The sequence below is a fragment of the Homo sapiens genome, chromosome 2 (assembly GCF_000001405.40).
Source record: "Homo sapiens chromosome 2, GRCh38.p14 Primary Assembly".
NCBI lineage: Eukaryota > Metazoa > Chordata > Mammalia > Primates > Hominidae > Homo > Homo sapiens.
In genome coordinates, this window is record NC_000002.12 from 202,329,763 (window position 1) to 202,354,834 (window position 25,072).

Genomic DNA, 25,072 nt, shown 5'->3' on the forward strand with positions numbered 1-25,072 from the left:
GAGTGCAGTGGCCTGATCTCAGCTCATTGCAACCTCCACCTCCGGGGCTCAAACAGTCCTCTTGCCTCAGCCTCTGAAGTAGCTGGGACTGCAGGCATGCATCACACAGGCTATTTTTTTATGTTTTTAGTAGAGAAGGGGTTTCACCATGTTGGCCAGGCTGATCTCCAACTCCTGAGCTCAAGCGATCCTCCCACCTCAGCCTTCCAAAGTGCCAGGATTACAGGCATGAGCCACCGTGCCCAGCGGGAGTATCTACATTTTTTTATTTTTTTATTTTTTTGGAAATGGAGTCTCACTCTGTTACCCACGCTGGAGTGTAATGGTGCGATTGCGGCTCGCTGCAACCTCCACCTCCCAGGTTCAAGTGATTCTCCTGTCTCAGCCTCCCAAGTAGCTGAGACTACCGGCACGCACCATCAGGCCTGGCTAATTTTTGTATTTTTAGTAGAGATGGGGTTTCACCATGTTGACCAGGCTGGTCTCGAACTCCTGACCTCAGGTGATCCGCCCACCTCGGCCTCCCGAAGTGCTGGGATTACAGGTGTGAGCCACTGCACCCAGCCAGATCTACATATATTAAATGGGGTTATTCTGTCTGAAAGAGTAGTTTCTTCTTCTCGATTAATTTTTATTCATTAATGGCTGGGCACAGTGCCTCACACCTGTAATGCCAGCACTTTGGGAGGCCAAGGCAGGTGAGTGGCTTTGAGCTCAGGAGTTTGAGACCAGCCTGGGCAACATGGCGAGACCCCTGCCTCTATTTTAAAAAGTACAAAAATTAGCTGGGCATTGGTGGCTTGTGCCTGTAGTCCTGGCTACACAGGAGGCTGGAGAATTACTTGAGCCCAGGAGGCTGAGGTTGCAGTGAGCTGAGATTGTGCCACCTGGGTGACAGAGTAAGACCTAGTCTCAAAAAATAAAATAAAATAAAATAAAATAAAATAATAATTTTTATTCATTAATGTATTTATATCAGCCTGAACTCATGTTTATAGTCAGCTCTCGGTATCTATGGATGGGTTTTGTATCCATAGATTCAACCAACCACGAATCAAAAAAAATAAAAAATAAAAAAACCCAGAAAATGAAAAAAACAATGTGACATTTAAAACTAATATGCATTTTTGCCGGGCGCAGTGGCTCACGCCTGTAATCCCAGTACTCTGGGAGGCCGAGGTGGGAGGATCACCTGAGGTCGGGAGTTTGAGACCAGCCTGACCAACATGGAGAAACCCTGTCTCTACTAAAAATACAAAATTAGCCGGGCATGGTGGCACATGCCTGTAATCCAAGCTATGTGAGGCTGAGGCAGGATAATTGCTTGAACCCAGGAGGCAGAGGTTGCGCTGAGCCAAGATCATGCCATTGCACTCCAGTCTGGGCAACAAGAGTGAAACTCCATCTCAAAAAAAATATTATTGGGTGCATCACACCAACATGGCACATGTATAGATATGTAACAAACCTGCACATTGTGCACATGTACCCTAGAACTTAAAGTATAATAAAAAAAATAAAAAAAATTAATGGGTGCAGCACACCAACATGGCACATGTATACATATGTAACAAACCTGCATGTTGTGCACATGTACCCTAAAACTTAAAGTATAATAAAAATATAAAAAAAAAATAAAACTAATATGAATTTTTTTTTTGAGACGGCGTCTCGCTCTGTTGCCCAGGCTGGAGTGCAGTGGCACAATCTTGGCTCACTGCAAGCTCTGCCTCCTGGGTTGACACCATTCTCCTGCCTCAGCCTCCCGAGTAGCTGGGACTACAGGCGCCCACCACCACATCCGGCTAATTTTTTGTATTTTTAGTAGAGACGGGGTTTCACCATGTTAGCTAGGATAGTCTCAATCTCCTGACCTTGCGATCCACCCGCCTCGGCCTCCCAAAGTGCTGGGATTACAGGCGTGAGCCACCGTGCAGGCCAACTAACATGCATTTTTAAAATAATACAGTATAAATACTATTTACATAGCATTCACATTGTATTCTGTATTATAATTAACATATAGATGATTTAAGGTATAGAAGAGCATGTGCATAGGTTATATGCAAATACTACACCATTTTATTTCAGGGACTTCAGCGTCCTTAGATTTTGGTATCCTTGGGGGTCCTGGAACCAATCCCCAGTGAATACCAAGGGACAACTGTACTCATTTGATACTTCGGGTTATAATCCAATACTATGTTGTTTATTTTGTTATTCAAATTGATCCAGTTTTGGCCATCGGGAGCTCTTTCAAGTTGGTCCTTGCATCTCTTTGACATGCACACATTCTTGTAAAATGTTAAAAACATACAAATGAAAGATAATCACTTATCTTTGGAGGCACTTTATTTTTAATGTTACATACATGGGGCTGCACTCGGTGTCTCATGCCTGTAATCCCAGCACTTTGGGAGGCCAAGGCAGGAGGAGTCCTTGAGACTAGGAGTTCACGACTAGGCTGGGCAACATAGCAAGACCTCATCTCTAACAAAAAAGCAAAAAACAAAACCCCAAAAAACATTACATACATGCACTTGGCATCCTCCAGTGGCAATCCTCCAGTGATTCCAGAAAATATGTCATTTTATTTTTTTAGTTTTTTTGAGACAGAATCTCAGTCTGTCACCCAGGCTGGAGTGCAGTGGCATGATCCCAGCTCACTGCAACCTCCGCCTCCCAGGTTCAAGTGATTCTCCTGCCTCAGCCTCCCGAGTAGCTGGTATAACAGCCAACAGGTGGCAGGCACCTGTTATCCCAACTAATTTTTATATTTTTAGTAGAGACGGGGTTTCACCATGTTGGCCAGGCTGGCCTCGAACTCCTGACCTCAGGTGATCCGCCCGCCTCAGCTTCCCAAAGTGCTGAGATTACAGGCGTGAGCCACCGCACCCAGTTGCCAAGATGTCATTTTAAAACATAATGTTTCCCTGATCTGATTGTGCCATTATAATGAGTTATGATTTACCTTTAATTACCTCGATTATTTTACTTGTTAAAAAATTTACGTTTGTGGGCCGGGTGTGGTGGCTCACACCTGTAATCCCAGCACTTTGGGAGGCCGAGGCGGGTGGATCACGAAGTCAGGAGATCAGACCATCCTGGCGAACATGGTGAAACCCCATCTTTACTAAAAATACAAAAAAATTAACTGGGCGTTGTGCCAGGCACCTGTAGTCCCAGCTACTCGGGAAGCTGAGGCAGGAGAATGGCGTGAACCCAGGAGGCGGAGCTTGCAATGAGCCGAGATCGTGCCACTGCAATCCAGCCTGGGCAACAGAGTAAGACTCCGTCTCAAAAAAAAAAAAAAAAAAAATTACATTTGTGCCAGGCGAGGTGGCTCACAACAGTAATCCTAGCACTTTGGGAGGACAAGGCAGGAAGATCACTTGAGCTCAGGAGTTCAACAGCAGCCTGAGTAACATAGTGCGACCTCGTCTCTACAAAAACATACAAAAATCAGCCAGCTGTGGTGGCATGCGCCTGTAGTCCTAGCTACTCAGGAGACTGAGGTGGGAGGATCTCTTGAGCCCAGAAGGTAGAGGCCAGTGAGCTGTGATCATGCCACTGCACTCCAGCCTGGGCAACAGAGCAAGACCCTGTCTCAAAAAAAAATTTACACTTATAATCTGGATTCATTGTAGGAAAATTCAGATAAAAAATAGGAGAAATTGCCAGGCATGATGGTACTCATCTGTAATCCCAGCTACTAAAGAGGCTGAGGCAGGAGGATCATTTGAGCCTAGGAGTTTATACTGTAGTATGCTATGTCTGTTGGATGTCTGCACTAAGTTCAGCATCAGTATGGTGACCTCCCAGGAGCGGGGGACCACCAGGTTGCCTAAGGAGTGGTGAACACAGATTGGAAACAGAGCAGGTCAAAACTCTTGTGTTGATCAAGAGTGGGATCATGCCCGTGAATAGCCACTGCACTCCACCCTGGGCAACATAGTGAGACCCTGTGAAAGAAAGAGAGAAAGAGAGAGAGAGAGAGAGAGAAGAAAGGAAGAAAAAGAAAGGAATGGAAGAGGAGGGGCGGGGAGGGGAAGCAAAGTGGGGAGGAAGGAAGGAAGTATCCATAATCTCATTATGCAGTGATAATTACTTTGTTTGTTTGTTTGTTTGAGACTGAGTCTTGCTCTGTCGCCCAGGCTGGAGTGCAGTGGCACGATCTCGGCTCACTACAACCTGCGACTCCTGGGTTCAAGCGATTGTCCTGTCTCAGCCTCCTGAGTAGCTGGGACTACAGGCATGTGCCACCACACCTGGCTAATTTTTGTATTGTTAGTAGAGACGGGGTTTCACCATGTTGGTCAGGCTGGTCTTGAACTCCTGACCTCAGGTGATCCACCCATCTTGGCCTCCCAAAGTGCTGGGATTACAGGCGTGAGACACCCTGGCTGGCCGTTAATTGCTTTTGTTTTTGACTCCAGGCTGGAGTGCAGTGGCATAATCTCAGCTCACTGCAACTTTGACATCCCAGGCTCAAGCAATCCTCTGCCCTCAGCCTTCTGAGTAGCTTGGACTACAGGTGCATGCCACCATGCCTAGCTAATTTTTTTTTCTTTTTCCTTTTTTCTTTTTGTAGAGATGATGTCTCACTATGTTGCTCAGGCTGGTCTCAAACTCCTGGGTTCAAGCGATTATCCTGCCTCAGCCTCCCAAAGTGTTGGGATCACAGGCATGAGTCACCACACCCGGCCGATAATTACTATTAATACTTTGCTATACGTTTCTCCTTTCTAGTGTGTGTGACTCTGCATATCACTTACATATATATGTATATTTTTGAGACAGAGTTTCACTCTTGTTGCCCAGGCTGGAGTGCAATGACAAGATCTCGGCTCACTGCAACCTCTTCCTTTGCCTCCCGGGTTCAAGCAATTCTCCTGCCTCAGCATCCTGAGGCACACACACACACACACACACACACACACACACACATACATATATACACATACATATATACATGTATATACATATACGTATATACATATACATATATACACATACATATATATTTTATAAATATATGTATATAATATATACATATATAACATATAAATATATGTATACAAATATATGTATACATACATATATATGTATATAAAATATATATTTGTATATAAAATGTATATATGTATGTGTATATATGTATGTATATGTAAATACGTATACATACATATATATATATAAATTTTTTTTTTGATGGAGTCTTGCTCTGTCACCCAGGCTGGAGTGCAGTGGCGCGATCTCCGCTCACTGCAATCTCTGCCTCCTGGGTTCCAGCAATTCTCTGCTTCAGCCTCCCGAGTAGCTGGGATTACCGGCGCCCACCACCATGCCTGGCTAATTTTTGTATTTTTAGTAGAGGCAGGGTTTCACCATGTTGGCCAGGCTGGTCTCGAACTCCTGACCCATGATCCACCCGCCTTGGCCTCCCAAAGTGCTGGGATTACAGGCATGAACCACCGTGCCCGGCCCACTTACCAATATATTGTTAGAGCTTTCCCACGTCACTATATACATTTTTTTTTAATGCAAACAGTCTTTATTATGAGAAAACAGTGTTATCTAGGAAAGTCACATGCTGGTTTCTTTCTAATAAAATGACAAAGCAGGTTTCTTAAATAATTTACAAAGAGCAAAAATTGTTCTTGAACAGGCACACCCACAGTGCTCTGCATTTAGCATATACATAGGTACCCGTGAGCCCAGGGTCTTAAGCCTGGAAATATCTCCTATGCCTTCCTACGAGTCCCTGGTAGGGAAAGCAGGGATGAGAGTGGGGCCCCCAAGAGCCTTGGCACCGGAAACACAGTGGGTGAGTGACTCTGCAGATGACTCCCCAACAACCAGGCACCTGGGTACACAGCTAAGAGCTCTCTAACATCTGATGCTAGCACTTCACGTTGTAGATGAGGCAAATACAAGGCTCAAGGTCAAGTGTATGATGAGTTTCTAAGCTCAAGAGTCCCCTGGGAAAGTGGAAGGAACAATTCTCCCCACCTCTGCAAGGTCTCCCCAAGACACTCTCAGGCTATGGCAGGCAGTCACTGATGGATCCAGATGTGGCCAGAGCCAGGGGGCTCTGGGCTCCTTGTTAGTCAGGTCCTTGTTAGCAGTGGCCCAGGGGTACTGATGACTCCTGGGGGCTTCCTCCAGGAAGCTCATGGGGAAGCACAGACATCCTTGGGTATGAAGCCTTGGCAATCAGACAAGGCTTGTTTCCTGCAGGCCACTTACTCAGCCATGAATGAGAGAGATGATGTCACCACTCTCTTCCGCCATAATGGCTTCATCTAGCTCTTGGGACAGCTTCTGGAGATGCTGAATTCCCACCCCCATAGGCTCTAGGTCACTGCCAGACTGGCTGGGAGAGCAGAGTGGCTCTGTTGAGGAGTAGGGGCTCCAGAAGGCAGCCTCCTGCATCGACTGTCATAATGGGTAGGCATGGGAGCCTATCCGGGCGGAGAGGCAGTTATGCTCCTTCTCCCAGGGGTCTGTGGGCTGAGTGGGCAGGGGCATCTCCAGATAGCCGGGTGCTCTTCTGGCTCAGGCTGTGAGCTGGGGAGCCACTGCCCTTCTGTGCCCGTCTCTTCCTCCTCCTGGCCTTCACCTGGGTCTCCACCAGCCACTTGGTGCCACTTTGGCAGGACTCCTGGATTCTCTGGGACATGGCACCCAAGGCACTCTTAGCTGAGTGAGCCGTAGCCTGGAGGCCCTGCTGCCCTGGCTCTGGGGTTTCCAAGCATTTGCAGGAAGGGCCTGCACGGAAGTTGAGGTTGATGGCTCTCAGAGGCAGCCTCCATTGGAACTGTCTGCACAGGGACCCCAGGGACCCGCGGAGTTCTCCTGATGGCTGGTCACGGGCTGCAGCTCCTTGCATCCTCCAGCTGCTCCTGGTGCTGGAGACATCTCCGGTGCACGGAGGTCCCCATTCTCTGCCACCAAGAAGCCATCTGCCTGGCCAAGAGTCTTCTCTGCCCACTAGACCCCGACACAACCAACGCCAATCACACCCCGAGCATAGCTGCCCCACTATATACATTTAATGGATATTTAACTCCCTTTCTACTGTTTTTTTGTGTGATTATAAACATCCTTGTATATATTTAAATCATTAATTTGTGCCATAGCAACTAAACCAAGCTTGTTTCCAGACTGTAAAGGTTTGCAAATTCCAGCTTCCTAAGTCTTTACTGAAATAATTCAGCATGATTTTTAAATTTACTTATAGTGCCTACCTTATAGCCTGCATTGTGGTAAAAACCAAAGCAGCTGAAGAATGATCCCTGCTTATGATGTAAAAATGGAGGCAGAAGACCTAAATCTAAGGCAATATACAATTTAATGTGACAAAATTATGATATAGAGGGTATGTAATTGCTGAAGGAATTCCAAAGAAAAAATAAATAAATTCTGACTTAGCTAATGTTGGCATCACATGATTGTTTTATATGTGGTGAAGACTGTCGGTGCTCACCAGTGACTGTGTTCTTTTCTTCTTCCTGGCCTACAGCCAGAGTCCCTCTTCCAGCCTCCAGTGCAGTTAGGTATGACCATGTGACTGTTCTGGCCCGTGGAATGTGAGCAAGAGTGATGGGCACCACTTCTAGGTCCATAAAAACCTCTCAAGCACAATCCTCACTCTTTGGCCATCCCTTCTCTTGCTGAATGGAGAGGACAAAGAAAGGGACAAACAAAAGGGTGGAACCACAGTTGGAAAAAAGCCTTTGTCCTTCAAGCAGTTCTCCTGCCTCAGCATCCTGAGTAGCTGGGACTACAGATGTGTGCCACCACACTGGTTGGGCCTTAGTTTCATTATCTGTAAAATGCAGGGTGGGCCTAGATGGTAGCTAAAGGCAGTTACAGTTCTAATTTTCTTTTTTGTTTTGTCTTTTTTTTTCTTCCTTTTTGTGGAGAACGGGGTCTCGCTATATTGCCCAGGCAGGTCTCAAACTCCTGGGCTCAAGCTATCCTCCGGCCTCTGCCTCCCTGACAGCTGGGATTACAGGCGTGAGCCACCGCGCCCTGCCTCTAATTTTCTTTAATTAAATTTCCTGTGATTCTCACTCTAACCACGTGAAGTCAGCAGGACAAATATTATCTCTCTTTTACAGATCTGCTAATCAAGTCCTCAGAGATAAGTCTGTCCCCAAGGGGAATGAGGCCTAAAAGCACCTCATGGGCTAAGGATGGAGTGGTGGAGCAGTGTAGAAGATTGTGGGGCTTTAAAAATTCATTCTTTCTGAAAAATAAAGGGAAACTCAAATGAGAGATCCCACCTTGCAAAAAATTTATCTTTCTCTAAACCTACTATACACAGGATGACTTCAGCACTATTTTTATCAGACAGAATCATATCAGTGTGAACCAAGAAGTCCTAAAAGGAATAATAAATCACACATAGGCAGCTGCAGCCAGAATTATCCTAATCCAGGGATAATTCTGTCCAATAAACTTAAAAGATTGCCTCGAAGTTCCAGAACATGTTAGCAGTAGAGCTAGACAGAAACCCAGCCTTCTATCCCCAGGACTGGGCACTCTTATCATGTCGAAAGGCTGCAGGGGTAAGGCCACGGTTGAGGACATCTCAATTTTCCCTTGGTAGCCATTCATGACTGATGCAAAGCCCTAGAGTCATTGTAAGCTTTGCCACACAACTCTGCCATATAGTACATTTTTTACTACGGCAAGCAACCTCTATGAAGTTCTTTCTTCTTTCCTTCCTTCCCTCCCTCCCTCCTTTTTCTTTGTTTTTCTTTCGCTTTATTTCCCTCTTTCTTTCTTTCTTTCTTCTTTCTTTTCTTTCTTTCCTTTCTCTCTCTTTTCTCTTTCTTTCTTTCTTTCTTTCTTTCTTTCTTTCTTTCTTTCTTTCTTTCTTTCTTGTTTCTCTCTGTCTTTCCCTTTCTTTCTTTCCCTCTTTCTTCCTTTCTTTCCTTTTCTTTCTTTCGACAGTGTCTTGCTCTGTCGCCCAGGCTGGAGTGCAGTGGCGCCGTCATAGCTCAGTGCAGCGTCAACCTCCCAGGCGCAAGCTGTCCTCCCACCTCAGCCTCCCGAATAGGTGGGCTAATTTTTGTATTTTTTATAGAGATGGGGTCTTATTATGTTGCCTAGGCTGGTCTCAAACTTCTGACCTCAGGTGATCCTCCCATCTCAGCCTCCCAGATTGCTGAGATTACAGGCATGAGCCACTATGCTGGGCCAGACTCTTTACTTTCCACACTTCTCCGCAATTTGATCATTCAAACCTGTGTGCTGAATGATGCCTGCGGAAGGTTGAATATTGTATCTGCTAAATGCTTCTCTTAGCTAGGATTTGGAGTCTAGTGAGCATGTGTCAAGCTGGCAACATTCAATGTCATCCTCCTTCGCTGATAACTCAGCTGCCTTGTGCTGAGAGGGCACTCCACCATGGGCCCTGAACATGCCTGCACTCTCTTGCTGAGTAGGCCAATCCATAAGACTTTCAGGCTCCTGATACTGAGCAATGTCTATAGCTACTCACACAGATATAACTAGGCCAAGGCAACTACTGTAATTACCTGTAACTGCTTGCTCCCTAGAGGGAGTGGGGATTGGCTCATTTGCTGCTTGCTCAAAAAGTGCTAAGCCCTTGGCCCAGGATTCCTCTCCTGTAATGCAAACCACTGCAGATACATATGTCATCTGGGCTCATTGGGTTGCCCCATTAGAATTTGAGGGCAAGGGAAACCATTGCAAATAGGCTGACACATGCTATTTGCTGTGCCATGAATAATAAATTCCTCTGTCTCTGACCAAGGAGTGTCATGACTATTGCCAGGATCCATGAAACAATGACAGACTAACATATTAGCTTGCAATTGGCCTTCATTGTCCTTGCAGCCTTTTCTCCACGTGCTCCACTTTTGCACTCACCCAGTAGTCTCCCAACCTCTGGTCCCCTGGTGCATGGGGCTATCTGACTCTTAGTATTTGCAGAGAAGCTAAGGCTGTGCAAAAGCTATAGACATCCAATCTACAGAGCTCTTAATTCGTGATTCATTCTGCAAATATTTACTAAGGACCTATGCCAGGAACTATTCTATATGATGCAAATGCAACAGTGAACAAAATGAACCAAGTGCCTTTACTTATGAAGATTGCCTTCTAGTGGAGGAGACAACCAATTTAGGACCCTCTCTATATATAGTCTATATATATATATATATATATACTTAAGAGTATATAAATTTTCTGGGGTTTTTTTGTTTTTGTTTTTGTTTTTGAGACGGAATCTCACTCTGTCGCCAGGCTGGAGTGCAGTAGTGCGATCTCGGCTCTCTGCAATCTATGCCTCCTGGGTTCAAGCAATTCTCCTGCTTTAGCCTCCCAAGTAGCTGGATTACAGGTGTGCACCACCACACCTAGTTAATTTTTGTTTTGTTTTGTTTTGTTTTGTTTTTGAGACAGAGTCTCGCTCTGTCGTCAGGCTAGAGTGCAGTGGCGCGATCTCAGCTCACTTCAACCTCCACCTCCTGGGTTCAAGCAATTCTCCTGCCTCAGCCTCCCAAGTAGCTGGGAATACAGGTACGTGCCAGCACGCCCAGCTAATTTTTGTATTTTTAGTAGAGACGGGGTTTTACCATGTTAGCCAGGATGGTCTCGATCTCCTGACCTCATGATCTGCCTGCCTTGGCCTCCTAAAAGTGCTGGGACTACAGGCGCCTGCCAACACAGGCGTGAGCCACCTCGCCCGGCTTATTTTTTAATTTTTTTTTGAGACAGAGTCTTGATCTGTTGCCCAGGCTGGAGTGCAGTGGTGTGATCTCACTGGAACCTCCAGCAAAAAGAGAATGTTTAGATATTAAAGTTTTGGGGCCAGGAATGGTGGCTCCCACCTGTAATCCCAGCACTTTGGGAGGCCGAGGCAGGTGGATCACTTAAGGTCAGAAGTTTGAGACCAGCCTGGCCAACATGGTGAAACCCCATCTCTACTAAAAATACAAAAATTAGGCCGAATGCCATGGCTCACACCTGTAATCTCAGCACTATGGGAGGCCGAGGCCAAGGCGAACGGATCACTTGATGTCAGGAGTTCGAGACTTGCCTGACCAACATGGAGAAACCCCATCTCTACTAAAAATACAAAATTAGCTGGGCGCAGTGGCACATCCCTGTAATCCCAGCTATTTGGGAGGCTGAGGCAGGAGAATTGCTTGAACCTGGGAGGCGGAGGTTGAGGTGAGCCGAGATCGCGCTATTGCACTCCAGCCTGGGCAACAAGAGCAAAACTCTGTCTCAAAAAAAAAAAAAAACAAAACACAAAAATTACTTGGGCGTAGTGGTGCGTGCCAATACTCCCAGCTACTCAGGAGGCTAGGCAGGAGAATCACTTGAACTCAGGAGATGGAGGTTGCAGCGGGCCGAGATCTTGCCATTGCACTCCAGCCTGGGCGACAGAGTGAGACCCTGTCTCAAATAAATAGACAAATAAATAATAGGCCAGGTGTGGTGGCTCACGCCTGTAATCCCAGTACTTTGGGAGGCCTAGGTGGGTGGATCATCTGAGATCGGGAGTTCGAGACCAGCCTGACCAACATGGAGAAACCCTGTCTCTACTAAAAAAATACAAAATTAGCCAGGCGCAGTGGCGCATGCCTGTAATCCCAGCTACTCCGGAGGCTGAGGCACAAGAATCGCTTGAACCCGGGAAGCGGAGGTTGCAATGAGCCAAGATCATGCCATTGCACTCCAGCCTGGGCAACAAGAGCAAAACTCTGTCTCAAAAAAAATAATAATAATAATAATAAAGCTTTTTGTCCTGAACATCCTAATTTATCCCTATAGAAGAGCCAGAGGATTCCAGGCAAGGATTATGTAGGAACAGTGCTCAGCAATGTGATTTGAAGAGCATCAGATATGCTTTCTTATTTAAAAGTATCTCCTTTACTTGCCTCGTTTCTGTGGAGTAAACTTTACTACAAACTCCAGTCTTTGTTTGGTGGATAGATAACAGTTCTTGGCCAGGCGCGGTGGCTCACCCCTGTAATCCCAGCACTTTGGGAGGCCGAGGCGGGCAGATCATGAGGTCAGGAGATCAAGACCATCCTGGCTAACACGGTGAAACCCCGTCTCTACTAAAAATACAAAAAATTAGCCAGTCATGGTGGCAGGCGCCTGTAGTCCCAGCTACTGGGCAGGCTGAGCCGGGAGAATGGCGTGAACCCAGGAGGCGGAGCTTGCAGTGAGCCGAGATCGCGCCACTGCACTCCAGCCTGGGCGACAGAGCAAGACTCCGTCTCAAAAAAACAAAAACAAAAACAAAAAAAACAAAAAACAGTTCTGTCTGCACTCAGGCTTCTCAAGGTCTCCCCTTCAAACCCTCCTACTCCCTTCACCCCCAGGAATACTGGGGCTGCTATTCCATATATAATATTTTCCCATCATAACATATATGTTAACCCTTAAATTGGTAAGTATAAGAGATATGTGCGGCTGGGCGCTGTGGCTGAAGCCTGTAATCCCCCGAGGCCGAGGCAGGTGCATCACGAGGTCAGGAGATCAAGACCATCCTGGCTAAGACGGTGAAACCCCGTCTCTACTAAAAATACAAAAAATTAGCCGGGCATGGTGGTGGGCGCCTGTAGTCCCAGCTACTCGAGAAGCTGAGGCAGGAGAATGGCGTGAACCTGGGAGGCGGAGCCTGCAGTGAGCGAAGATCTCCCCACTGCACTCCAGCCTGGGCAACAGAACAAGACTCCGTCTCAAAAAACAAAACAAAAAACAAACAAACAAACAGAAAAAAAAAACAAAGATATGTGCAAAGGGGAGTGGAGATCCATAGGAGGGAATGGCAACTTTCTTAAACAAGTCTAGAAAGGTTTCACTGGGAAGATTGCAGGATAACTGGGATTTGAAGGATGGTTAGAATTTTGCCAGGTGAAAACAAAAAGGTTTTCTCAGGTGGAGGGAATAGCATGAACTTTATTTAATTATAAAATTTCTTTTTGAAATAGAAGTATTCCAGTTAAGGATGGCCGGGAGTGGTGGCTCATGCCTGTAATCCCGACACTTTGGGAAGCTGAGGCGGGCGGATCTCAAGAGATTGAGACCATCCTGGCCAACATGGTGAAACCTCATCTCTACTAAAAATACAAAAATTAGCTGGGCGTGGTGGCACATGCCTGTAGTCCCAGCTACTCGGGAGGCTGAGGCAGGGGAATCGTTTGAACCCAGGAGGTGGAGGTTGCAGTGAGCCGAGATCGCGCCACTGCACTCCAGCCTGCTGACAGAGCAAAGCGAGACTCTGTCTCAAAAAAAAAAAAAAAAAAAAAAGTAATATTCCAGTTAAGAATAACACATTAGGGATAACACTAAATCTTCATATAAATTTATTGTATTGGCTCACTTTACTGATTGATTGAAGGTTGCAAGATAGCATAAGACTCTTGGGTTGCAGGTTTTGGGAAAGAAGAGTGGGGTGGAAGTGGGAAAGATAACTCTGTTTATCTAAGGGAAGATTTGGCTTAAAGCTCCCAAAATGGCTGGCACTTGTTCAACACGTGATGATGATGAAACTGACATGGATACTAATCTTAAGGGTAAACAAAGGTTGTCAAGCTATCAAGACTGTTTTAATAATGATGATTCCAAAGTAAAAAAGTAACAATAGTATTTTACATTTATGTAGTGTATTAGTCTATTCTCACACTACTTATAAAGAACTACCTGAAACTGGCCAGGCACGGTGGCTCACGCCTGTAATCCCAGCACTTTGGGAGGCCGAGATGTGCGGATCACTAGGTCAGGAGATCGAGACCATCCTGGCTAACATGGTGAAACCCCGTCTCTACTAAAAAATACAAAAAATGAGCCGGGTGTGGTGGCGGGCGCCTGTAGTCCCAGCTACTCGGGAGGCTGAGGCAGGAGAATGGCGGGAACCCGGGAGGAGGAGCTTGCAGTGAGCCGAGATCGCGCCACTGCACTCCAGCCTGGGCGACAGAGTGAGACTGTGTCTCAAAAAAAAAAAAAAAGAAAAAAAGAAAAAAGAAAAAGAAATATGATCCAATCACACCGCAATCCAATCACCTCCCACCAGAAGCCTCCTCCAACACTGAAGGTCATAATTCAACATAAGATTTGGGTGAGGACACAGAGCCAAACCATATCATATAGCATTTTAGAATGTTCAGTGGACATTTTTGCATTCATTAATTTATTTGACCCTGACTGAAGTTATGAGAGATAAAGACACTTCGACTCAAAAATATTTTGATCACTAATCCAAGGATCACTCTCCTAATTAGCAGAGCTGGACTAGAATCTGGGCATCCTGATGAAGTCTAGCATTATTTTCTTTGTTCTTCTGGAACAAATTAACCCTCAGGGTGACAATGAGAGACTTTTAAAAGAATTCACAGCAAGGGATATAGCCCATAACAGAAAGTTCCAGGCAAAGATTGTGAAAAATTACAGCTTTCTGAAAACCAAAGGGTCAAACCATGTAATGTTGGATGATTGTTTTTGAATTCCCTTGATTTCCTATCAAGTTGAGTCCTGCACAGACATTGAGGTTCACCCTTTGTTTATAACTTGGCTTGAGTCACTAAAGGCAGTTGATCAGCAGCTGTAGTGCAGCCCAAACACCTGAGGGCTGATCTCTTCCCACCTCTGCTTTATGATGAAAATTTCTTAAGTGAGTGAGTGGGTGTTATTTGCTGAGAAGGAGCTTCACTGAAAAATGCCTAGCAGACAGCAAAGGAGTCCTCGTTTCCTTCTTTGTTATCTTGTTTCTTTTTCTCAAGAAACTTTGAGTAAATAAGTAGGGAAACTTAGTTGATTTTTTTTTATTATACCTTATTTGGGTTAAACTCTGTATTACTTGATTATTGTTTTCTTTTTTCTTTTCTTTTTTTGAGACAGTCTTACTCTGTCACCCAGGCTGGAGTGCAGTGGCATGATCATGGCTCACTGCAGCCTCGACCTCCTGGGTTCAAATGATCCTCCTACTTCAGCCTCCTGAGTAGCTGTGACTACAGGCATGTGACACCATACCTGGCTAATTTATTTATTTATTTATTTATTTTTAGACAGAGTCTTGTTCTGTTGCCAGGCTGGAGTGCAGTGGCGCAATCTTGGCTCACTGCAATCTCCACCTCCTGGGTTCAAGCAGTTCTCCTTCCTCAGACTCCCAAATAGCTGAGACTACAGGCGCCCACGACCATGCCCGGCTAATTTTTGTATTTTAGTAGAGACAGGGTTTCAGCATGTTGGCCAGGGTGGTCTTGATCTCCTGACCTCAGGTGATCCACCCGCCTCAGCCTCCCAAAGTGCTGGGATTACAGGGGTGAGCCACTAAACCCGGCCTGGGTTTTTTTTTTTTTTGGTAGAGATTTTTGCTGTGCTGCTCAGGCTAGTCTGGAACTCCTGGACCCAAGCGATCCTCCTGCCTTGGCTTCCCAAAGTGCTGGGATTATAGGCCTGAGCCACCGTGCCTGGCATTGATCATTGTTTACTTCCATTTATTTTATTATAGCTTTTCCTGTTCAAGGGTTTTTGTTTGTTTGCTTTATTGCAGACAGGGTCTCACTCTGTCACCCAGGCCAGAATGGAGTACCATGATCATAGCTCACTGCAGCCTTGAATTCCTGGCCTCAAGTTATCCTCCCACCTCAGCCTCCCAAAGTGCTGGCATTATTACAGGCATGAGCCACCACGACCCACCTCAAGTGTTTTTTAAGTTAAAAAATTATTTAACTTAACCTCCAAATTAGGAGGTCTGCTAGAGTACTTCTCTGAATAATATTTTTCTATAAAGTGTACATGGGTACACTTTATAGAAAACACCTGCTTATATTTTCTGGGTCCTTGAATGAATGGAGAAGGTGTGACAGTACTTTCTGTCAGACTGCATGTGAAGTACAGCTTAACTGGGTACAGGATTCTTGGGTCACAATCATTTTCCCTCAAACTTCGCAGATGTTACTTCACTGTATTTTGGCACTTGGTGTTAAAGTAGAGAAGTATGATGATATTTGATTCATTTTCTCAGATGTAGTCATTTTAAATAAAGTGTCTCAATATCTGTGAGATTTCTTTTTTCTGTCCTTAAAATATTTAAAACTTCTGATTATAAAAGTAAGATTGGAGATTACCAAACATTTGGAAAGTACAGAAAATTTAAACTATAAAATTTAAAATAACCAATGAACAAATAATATTTCACGATAACTCTTATTAATATTTATTGGTGTGTTTCCTTCCAGTCCAGGCCAGACTATTTTAAAATAAAGATAATAGATATTTAAAGTAATCTATTTAACATATTTAAAATATTTTCAGAGCATTCAAGCTCCTCTATACATTCCAAATTAAGAAGCCTTGATAATAATGACTAACATCTATTAAGTAATTCTACTACATGCCAGGCACTCTTTTAAATGTTTTACATGTATTAATTAATTTAACCTTTATTATAAGCCCATGAGGAAGATAATGTTTATCTCTACTTTGTTTTTCTTTTTTTCTTTTTTTTCATGAGGCTCTGCTTTCACGGTCTGTATTCGTACTAAAAATCAACATCAAGCGAGCTTTTGCCCTTCTGCTCCACGGGAGGTTTCTGTCCTCCCTGAGCTCGCCTTAGTTTTTTTTGTTTTGTTTTGTTTTTTGAGCTAGAGTCTCACTGTGTTGCCCAGGCTGAAGTGCAGTGCCACAATTTCGGCTCACTGCAACTTCCACCTCCTAGGTTCAAATGATTCTTGTGCCTCAGGCTCCTGAGTAGCTGGGATTATAGGCGCCCACCACCACATCTAGGTTTTTTTTTTTTTTCATTTTTTTGAAACAAAGTTTCACTCTTGTTGCCCAAGCTGCAGTGCAATGGAGTGATCTCAGCTCACTGCAACCTCCGCTTCCTGGGTTCAAGCGATTCTCTTGCCTCAGCCTCCTGAGTAGCTGGGATTACAGGTGCCTGCCACTACGCCTGGCTAATTTTGTATTTTTAGTAGACATGGGATTTCGCCATGTTGGTCAGGCTGGTCTCAAACCCCTGACCTCGTGATCCACCCGCCTCGGCCTCCCAGAGTGCTGGGATTACAGGCATGAGCCACTGCGCCCAGCCCATTATCTCTACTTTTCATATAAAGAACTTTAAGCAGCAGGGCATGGTAGTTCATGCCTGTAATCCCAACAGTTTGGGAGGCTGAGATGGAAGGACTGCTTGAGCCCAGGAGTTTGAGACCGGCCTAGGCAATGTAGTAAGATGTTCTTTCTAAAAAAAAAAAAAAATTCAAAATTAGCCAGACGTGGTGGCTCATACCTGGAGTCCCAGCTACTTGGGATGCTGAGGTGGGAGCATCACTTGAGTCTGGGAGGTTGAGACTGCAGTGAGTGATCATGCCACTGCACTCCAGCTGGGACAACAGGGCAAGAACTTGTCTCCAAAAACAAAACAAAACAAAACAAACAAACAAAGAAAACAAAACTTAAAACAGGCTAACTGAATTTTTCAAGGTCACAAAACTAGAAAATGACAGAACTGAGACTTTAATTCAGGTGATCTAACTTCAGGGCCCAGGCTGAGGCAGGAGAATGGTGGGAACCCGGGAGGTGGAGCTTGCAGTGAGCCGAGATGGCGCCACTGCACTCCAGCCTGGGCAACAGAGCGAGACTCCGTCTCAAAAAAAAAAAAAAAAAAAGAATCCAGACTTCATAGTGGCTACCACAGTCTGGAGACCATTTTTCTGTACTGAACCATTAATAGGGGGCCAAAAAAGGGATTTGAGGCTGCTGTGTATATGTATACACTAAATGTTGGTGATTTTAAAACATATTTCCCAGTTTTTTGAACTGCTTATTGAGTGGTGGTATTTTTGTCTCCTTTCCTTGAACTTTGAGGGTCTTTGTGACCGCATCATGACTCTACATGAGTTGCAAGGCTAGATTATGAAAATGTCACTCGGCCTCCATCTTGGCCTCTTGGCATGCTCACTTTCAGAACTTAGCCATTATGATGAAAGGAAATCCAAACAACTCCATGGAAAAGCCACATGACAGCACAAACTGAGGTCCAGTCTGAGGGGCAGTATCGACCACCAGACATGTGAGTGAGCAAGTCTTCAGACAATTCAAGTCCCAGCTGCCAAGTCACCCTCAGCCCTGAAGTCTTCCTAGCTGAGTCTCTAGACATCTTAGAGCATATATAAGCCATCCCTATTGAACCCTCCTCCAATTACAGATTTGTGAGCAAAATAAATGATTATTATTATTTTAAGACACAAAGATTTGGGATAGTTTGTTGAGCAACAATGGTAACTAGAAAACCAAGTATATATTACCCTTCTCATCACATGCCTGCTTATACACACACACCAGGCTCATTGACTTTACTTAATGTTTAGTCAGCCGCCTATACAATATGTGTGGACCTTTTTCCCTGAAATTGTTTTCCAGCTAACTTTGAGTTTAATTTCCAAAGTAAGAGCAAAGACTAAGACACAAGGAAACACAAGGCTGCTGGCCTGTGGTTGAGTCTGGTAGTCCAAATATCTACTGTTCCCTTCTTTGGCCATAGAAACCCCATTTAATTTAATTCTGGTCAACAGGATGGATTGAAAAGTTGCTGTGAGTGTTAAATGAGTTATACATGTGAAGTACTTAGAACAATACCTGGAACATAAAAATTTATCACTATGAATGAGGGAGCTGCTTTGGTCCTGAGGGCATTGTAAATTGGACAAAGTTGACCTACAGGTTTTAATAATGCAAGAGGAGTAGATTCTACTCCCCAAGTATCTGAGAATCCATCCTTTCAGCCTTAACTCAGACCTTTATCAGTTCTCACTTAGGTTTTTTTGGTAAACAGCAGCCAAAAAAAGTCTCTCTGCTTTATTCTCTTTCATTCATTCTTTTTTTATTAAACAAGTATTTGAGTGCCTGTTATGTTCATTATAATCTAATCACAGTTAATTATTTAATGACAACAGTGTTAAGTTATAAGTTTTTTTGTTTTGTTTTTTTTAAATGAAGTCTCACTCTGTCACCCAGGCTGGAGTGCAGTGGCACGATCTTGGCTCACTGCTGCAACCTCTACCACTGGGGTTCAAGCAATTCTCCTGCCTCGGCCTCCCAAGTAGCTGGGACTACAGGCATGCACCACAATGTCTGGTTAATTTTTGTATTTTTAGTAGAGACGAGGTTTCACCATGTTGGCCAGGCTGGTCTCAAACACCTGGCCTCAAGTTATCTGCCTGCCTCGGCCTCCCAAAGTGCTGGGATTACAGGTATGAGACACCACGCCTGGCCAATAAAGAAATAACGTTTCTCCAAAGAAGATATACAAATGGCCAATAAGCACATGAAATGATGCTTAACATCATTAACCATTAGGGACACGTAAATCAAAGCCACAGTGAGATCCCCATTCATACCCACTACGGTGGTTAAAATAAAAATGATACACAATAACAAGTGTTAAGAAAGATATGGAGAAATTGGAACTTTTATATATTGCTGATGAAATTGTAAAATGGTATGGCTCCTTCGGAAAACAGGAAGTTCCTTGAAATGTCAAACAGAATTACCAGATAAGCCAAAAATACTGCTTCTAGGTATACGCCCTAAAGAACTAAAAACAGGTGTTCAAATAAAAACTCGTATACAAATGTTTATAGCAACATTATTTATAATAGCTAAAAAGTGGGAAAAAAACAATTGACCATCAATGGATAGATGGATAAATGATATTATTCAATCATAAAAAAGAATTAAGTGGCCGGGCACAGTGGCTCATGCCTGTAATCCCAGCACTTTGGGAGGCTGAGACGGGTGAATCACGAGGTCAGGAGTTCAAGACCAGCCTGGCCAACATAATTGAAACCTCGTCTCTACTAAAAATACAAAAATTAGCTGGGCATGGTGGCAGGTGCCTGGAATCCCAGCTACGTGGGAGGCTGAGGCAGGAGAATCACTTGAACCTGGGAGGTGGAGGTTGCAGTGAACTGAGATTGCGCCACTCCACTCCAGCCTGGGCAACAGAGACTCGGTGTCAAAAAAAAAAAAGAAAAAAGAATTAAGGATTGATACATGCCGCAAAATGGATGAACCTTGAAACATGCAAAGTGAGAGAAGCCAATCACAAGCGGCCATTTATTGTGTAATTCCATCTATATAAAATGTCCAGGGTAGGCAAATCCATAGAGACAGAAGTAGGTTGATGATTGTCAGGGGCTAGAGGGAGGGGGCACTGGGGAGTGATTGCTAATGGGTAAGGGGTTCCTTTTTGCAGTAATGAAGTGTTCTAAAATTAAGTAGTGGTGAAGATTGAATTATAGATTATATAAAAACCACTGAAATGTGTACTTCAAAAAGGCGAATCTTATGAAATATGAATTATATCTCAATAAAGCTGTCATAACAATTGTCTTGAATGAAGAAGGGCTCTCTGAACACATAACCGAGAAGCCATAAAAGACTGATATGTTGGACTCCATAAAAACACAGCCTCTCACTCCTGCTCTCAAGGGATCCTCTAGACTGCAGGCTCACCACCATGCCTGGCTTCTACAAATGTTTAAGAGAGAGAAATGCCCGTACATCACTTTAAAAAATGCAAATTAAAACCAAAACAGGCCAGGTGCGGTGGCTCACGCCTGTAATCCCAGCACTTTGGGAGGCTGAGGCGGGCGGATCACCTGAGGTCGGGAGTTTGAGACCAGCATGACCAACATGGAGAAATCCCGTCTCTACTAAAAAAAAAAAACCACACACACAAAATTAGCCAGGCGTAGTGGCTGAGGCAGGAGAATTGCTTGAACCTGGGAGGCAGAGGTTGCATGAGCCAAGATCGCGCCATTGCGCTCCACCCTGGGCAGCAAGAGCGAAACTCCATCTCAAAATAATAATAATAATAATAATAATAATAATAGCATGATGATACAAAAGTATTTGATATGCTATATATGTGTGAATACTGAATTGAGCACTTTGTGTAACTATTGTTGCTATGTAGATACTATGTGAGGATGAAATCATGAAAAAGAATGAATATTATATCTTTTGAAACATGTATTTAAAAAATTATATAATAGCATTCCCTCTGCTAAATTACATTCTTGCCAAGTAGAAATTCAAGTTACACAAGCAAGAGCCTATTTTAACTTTTGGATGAATGTTGTCTTCCCATATATATATATGCCTTAGCTACCTGCTTCTAGATAAAGATCAGGTTAAGTGTCTTTCACATGGGAATTTCAAAGCAGTTTAAGGGCAATAATTAGTTCTCATAATAACTCTGTGAAGTGTGTGTATTTTTTCATATCTATTTTCACATGAGAGGACTGACAGGCTAAATGGTTTCCTGGTATTCTGTGCTCCATTATTGTTGAAACTAAGACTGTTATTGCTTCATTGGCCACTTTTTTTTCCTTGAGAAGTGATAAAGCAATTGTTGGGTCAATAAACCAAACAAAAATAGCTATTTACATGTCAATTTTTTTTTTTTTTTTGACACAGAGTCTTACTCTGTCACCCAGGCTGGAGTGCAATGGCATGATCTTGGCTCACTGCAGCGTCCTCCAGAGTAGCTGGGATGTGCTACCATGCCCTGCTAATTTTTGTATTTTTAGTAGAGGAGGGGTTTCACCATGTTGGCCAGGCTGGTCTCAAATGCCTGACTTCAGGTGATCCACCCGCCTCGGCCTCCCACAGTGATGGAATTACAGGCGTGAGCCACTGCGCCCAGCCATATGTCAAATATTTTTAAAACACGAGGACAGTATTTTTATTTTTTGGACTTTCTAAACAATCTTTAGCATTTTTAATTTACTCTATACCCGAATAGTTGATTGGGACAACATTTTCTTTCCTTTTTTCTTTTTTCTTTTTTTCCTTTTTTTGAGACAGGGTCTTGCTCTGTCACCCACACTGGAGCACAGCAGCATGAACAGGACTCACTGCAGCCTCGACTGCCCACGCTCAAGTCATCCTCCTGCCTCAGCCTCCTGAGTAGCTGGGACTATAGGCACAGGCTGCCACACCTGGCTAATTTTTGTATTTTTCTGTAGAGATGGGGTTTTACCATGTTGCCCACAAAAGTCTGGAACTCCTGAGTTCAAATGATTCTCCTGCCCTGGCCTCCCAAAGTGTTGGGATTACAGATGTGAGCCACCACGCCCCGCCAGGGCAATGTTTTCTAAATTAAAATATATTTTAAAATATAGAAATAATCAGAGTAGCTCTGCAGTAGCTTCATCTGAGATCTGCTTTGAATATTTCTTTAATTATTAGAAATGTACTTACAGATAATTAATGTGGTTTAGTGACTAGGAGACCTATTTTTAAAGATCCTGTCCTGGCACACTGTGAGAGTATGATACATTTTTGAAACAGGCAGGGTTGAAATGTCTTTCACTGGTGCCACACACTATGCTAACCACTTTATATACATTATCTCATTCAATCCACAACATGGTGAGGTAGTTTCAGCCATTATATTTCTCATTTTACAGACAAACAGCCCAATAGTGAGACTTATTTAACATTACATAGAAGGTGAGAAGTTAGGCAGGATTCTAAACATCAAGTCAATAATGCCATTTTGATCTTGCTATTTTCACCTCATTTTTTGTACCCTGAACTTGAATCAGATATGTGATTTTGACCTGCCATTTTGAACCCTGTATTTGTGAATATACCCATGTAAACTATTGTTATAACCAGTTTAATTCTTGATGAAATTTCTCTGCAGTACAGTGAAACTATTTCCAATTTTTTTTCTATTCTCATTTTTTTTTTTCGAGACAGAGTCTCACTCTGTTGCCCAGGCTGGAGTGCAGTGGACTGCCCTCAGCTCATTCCAACCTCCACCTCCCAGGTTCAAGCAATTCTCCCACCTCAGCCTCCCAAGTAGCTGGGATTACAGGCATGCACCACGCCCGGCTAATTTTTGTATTTTTAGTAGAGATGGGGTTTCACCATGTTGGTCAGGCTGGTCTCAAACTCCTGACCTCAAGGTCCTTCCTCGGCCTCCCAAAGTGCTGGGACTATAAGCAAGAGCCACAGCACCCAGCCTCTATTCTAATTTTTATTTTACCAAAATTATGCTCAGGATAAAATTTTTCCATGTGCATTTAAAAATTAGATTCATTTCAGTCATTAGGTCTTTTTTTTTGTAATTTAGAGATGGATGTCACTCACAGGCACCATCATAGTGCAGAACAGCCTCGAATTCCTGGCCTCAAGGGAGCCTCCTGCTTCAGCCTCCAAAAGTAGCTGGGACTATAGGCATGCACCTTTATGCTGGGTATTTTAGTCATTAGGTTTTTATCCTCATCAAACTCTGTCCATTTTAACTACTGCTATTGTGAACCTTCTTTCATAGCTGTTATTTCTATGAAATTTGAGTTTTTCCTCTGATTCAGTCAAAACATTCATTGGGTTAACATGGTAGGGTCAAAACATTCTTTTTTGCCTGGGATATAAGAATTCAGGCTGGGCACAATGACTCACGCCTGTAATCTCAGCACTTTAGGAGGCCAGAGCAGGAGGATCTCTTGAACCCAGGAGTTCAAGACCAGCCAGGGCAAGAGCAATGTATCAAGACCCTATCTCTAAAAAAAGAGAAGAATGAAAGAAAAAAAGAATTCAATAAAGGTCATTTTTTATGATAGTGATGATGAGACAACTAATACCTGCTTTAGCCCCCTCTCAGGAGGCTCCAGTGTAGAAAGATGTGACAGTGCTTTGTAATCTGTGAAAGTTAAATAAATGCCTCTTTACTAATTGTTAAAATAAGTTGTAAAAATCCATCCTCTGAAACTCTTCTGGAAGGCAAGTACCTTCCTGTTCCTGCTGTGATGTTATCTGCAAAAATGCTTGCAGCCAGGATTGTCAGGCACTTGTAGTCCCAGCTATTCCGGAGGCTGAGGCAGGAGGATTCCTTAGGAGCGAAGGAGTTAAGGTCAGCCTGAGGAACTTAGTTGCAAGACCCTGTCTCCAAAAGAAAATTTTTTTTAATTAAAAATAAATTCATTCTTGTAGGGACATTTAAAAAAATGTGGTTACAGACATCAACTGATTTTCTAAGTATATCCTAGTAACCCTTTACTCACTGCTCTCTTCTCATTTGTTTTCCAGTCCAACCTCATTAATTTTTCTTTCTCTAGCCCTAATGCTGAAATCCTTTGTGATATAGAGACCAGCTTTGGCACTCTAATGGATTCTTTACCATTGATTATCCGTTTCATCATCGTGGTTGCTGTAACTGTTGCATAGGATTGAGTGATATAGCATTACTGGCTGGCAGTTCTTGAGAAAAATTAAAACAAGCCCATTGCCAAATGGATTTTGTCTCAGCAAGAGTGCAGTTACACTATTATTATATAAAAATCTCCTGTTATCATAGCTCTCTGTCTCTTGCCTAATGTACCCCTGAAAGGTTTTTCTGTTTTGTTTTGTTTTGTTTTTTTGAGATGGAGTTTTGCCCAGGCTGGAGTGCAATGGCACGATCTCGGCTCACTGCATTCTCTGCCTCACGGTTTCAAGTGATTCCCCTGCCCCAGCCTCCCGAGTAGCTGGGATTACAGGCATGTGCCACCATACCTGGCTAATTTTGTATTTTTAGTAGAGACAGGGTTTCTCCAAGTTGGTCAGGCTGGTCTTGAACTCCCAACCTCAGGTGATCCGCCCACCTCAGCCTCCCAGAGTGCTGGGATTACGGGCATGAGTCACTGCACCCGGCCAAGAAAATTTTTTTAAAGATGAGGTTGTATTAGGATTCTCTAAAGGGGCAGAACTAATAGGACAGATGTATATATGAAGGGGAGTTTATTAGGGAGAGTTGACTGACACAATCACAAGGTGAAGTCCCATGATAGGCCACCTGCAAGTTGAGAAGCAAGGAAGCCCAAGTTCCAAAACCTCAAAAGTAGGGAAGCCAACAGTGCAGCCTTCAGTCTGTGGCCGAAGGCCTGAGAGCCCCTGGCAAAACACTGGTGTAAATCTAAGAGTCCAAAAGCTGAACAACGTAGAGTCTGATGTTTGAGGGCAGGAAACATCCAGCATGGGAGAAAGATAAAGGCCAGAAGACTCAGCAAGTCTGCTTCTCCCA

At 43.8% G+C, this 25,072-nt stretch overlaps 2 pseudogenes; one reads left to right on the forward strand and one right to left on the reverse strand.

Moving 5' to 3' along the window:
* On the forward strand, positions 3,677 to 3,966 carry RN7SL753P (RNA, 7SL, cytoplasmic 753, pseudogene; annotated as a pseudogene).
* Positions 5,541 to 7,033, reverse strand: PIMREGP1 (PIMREG pseudogene 1; annotated as a pseudogene).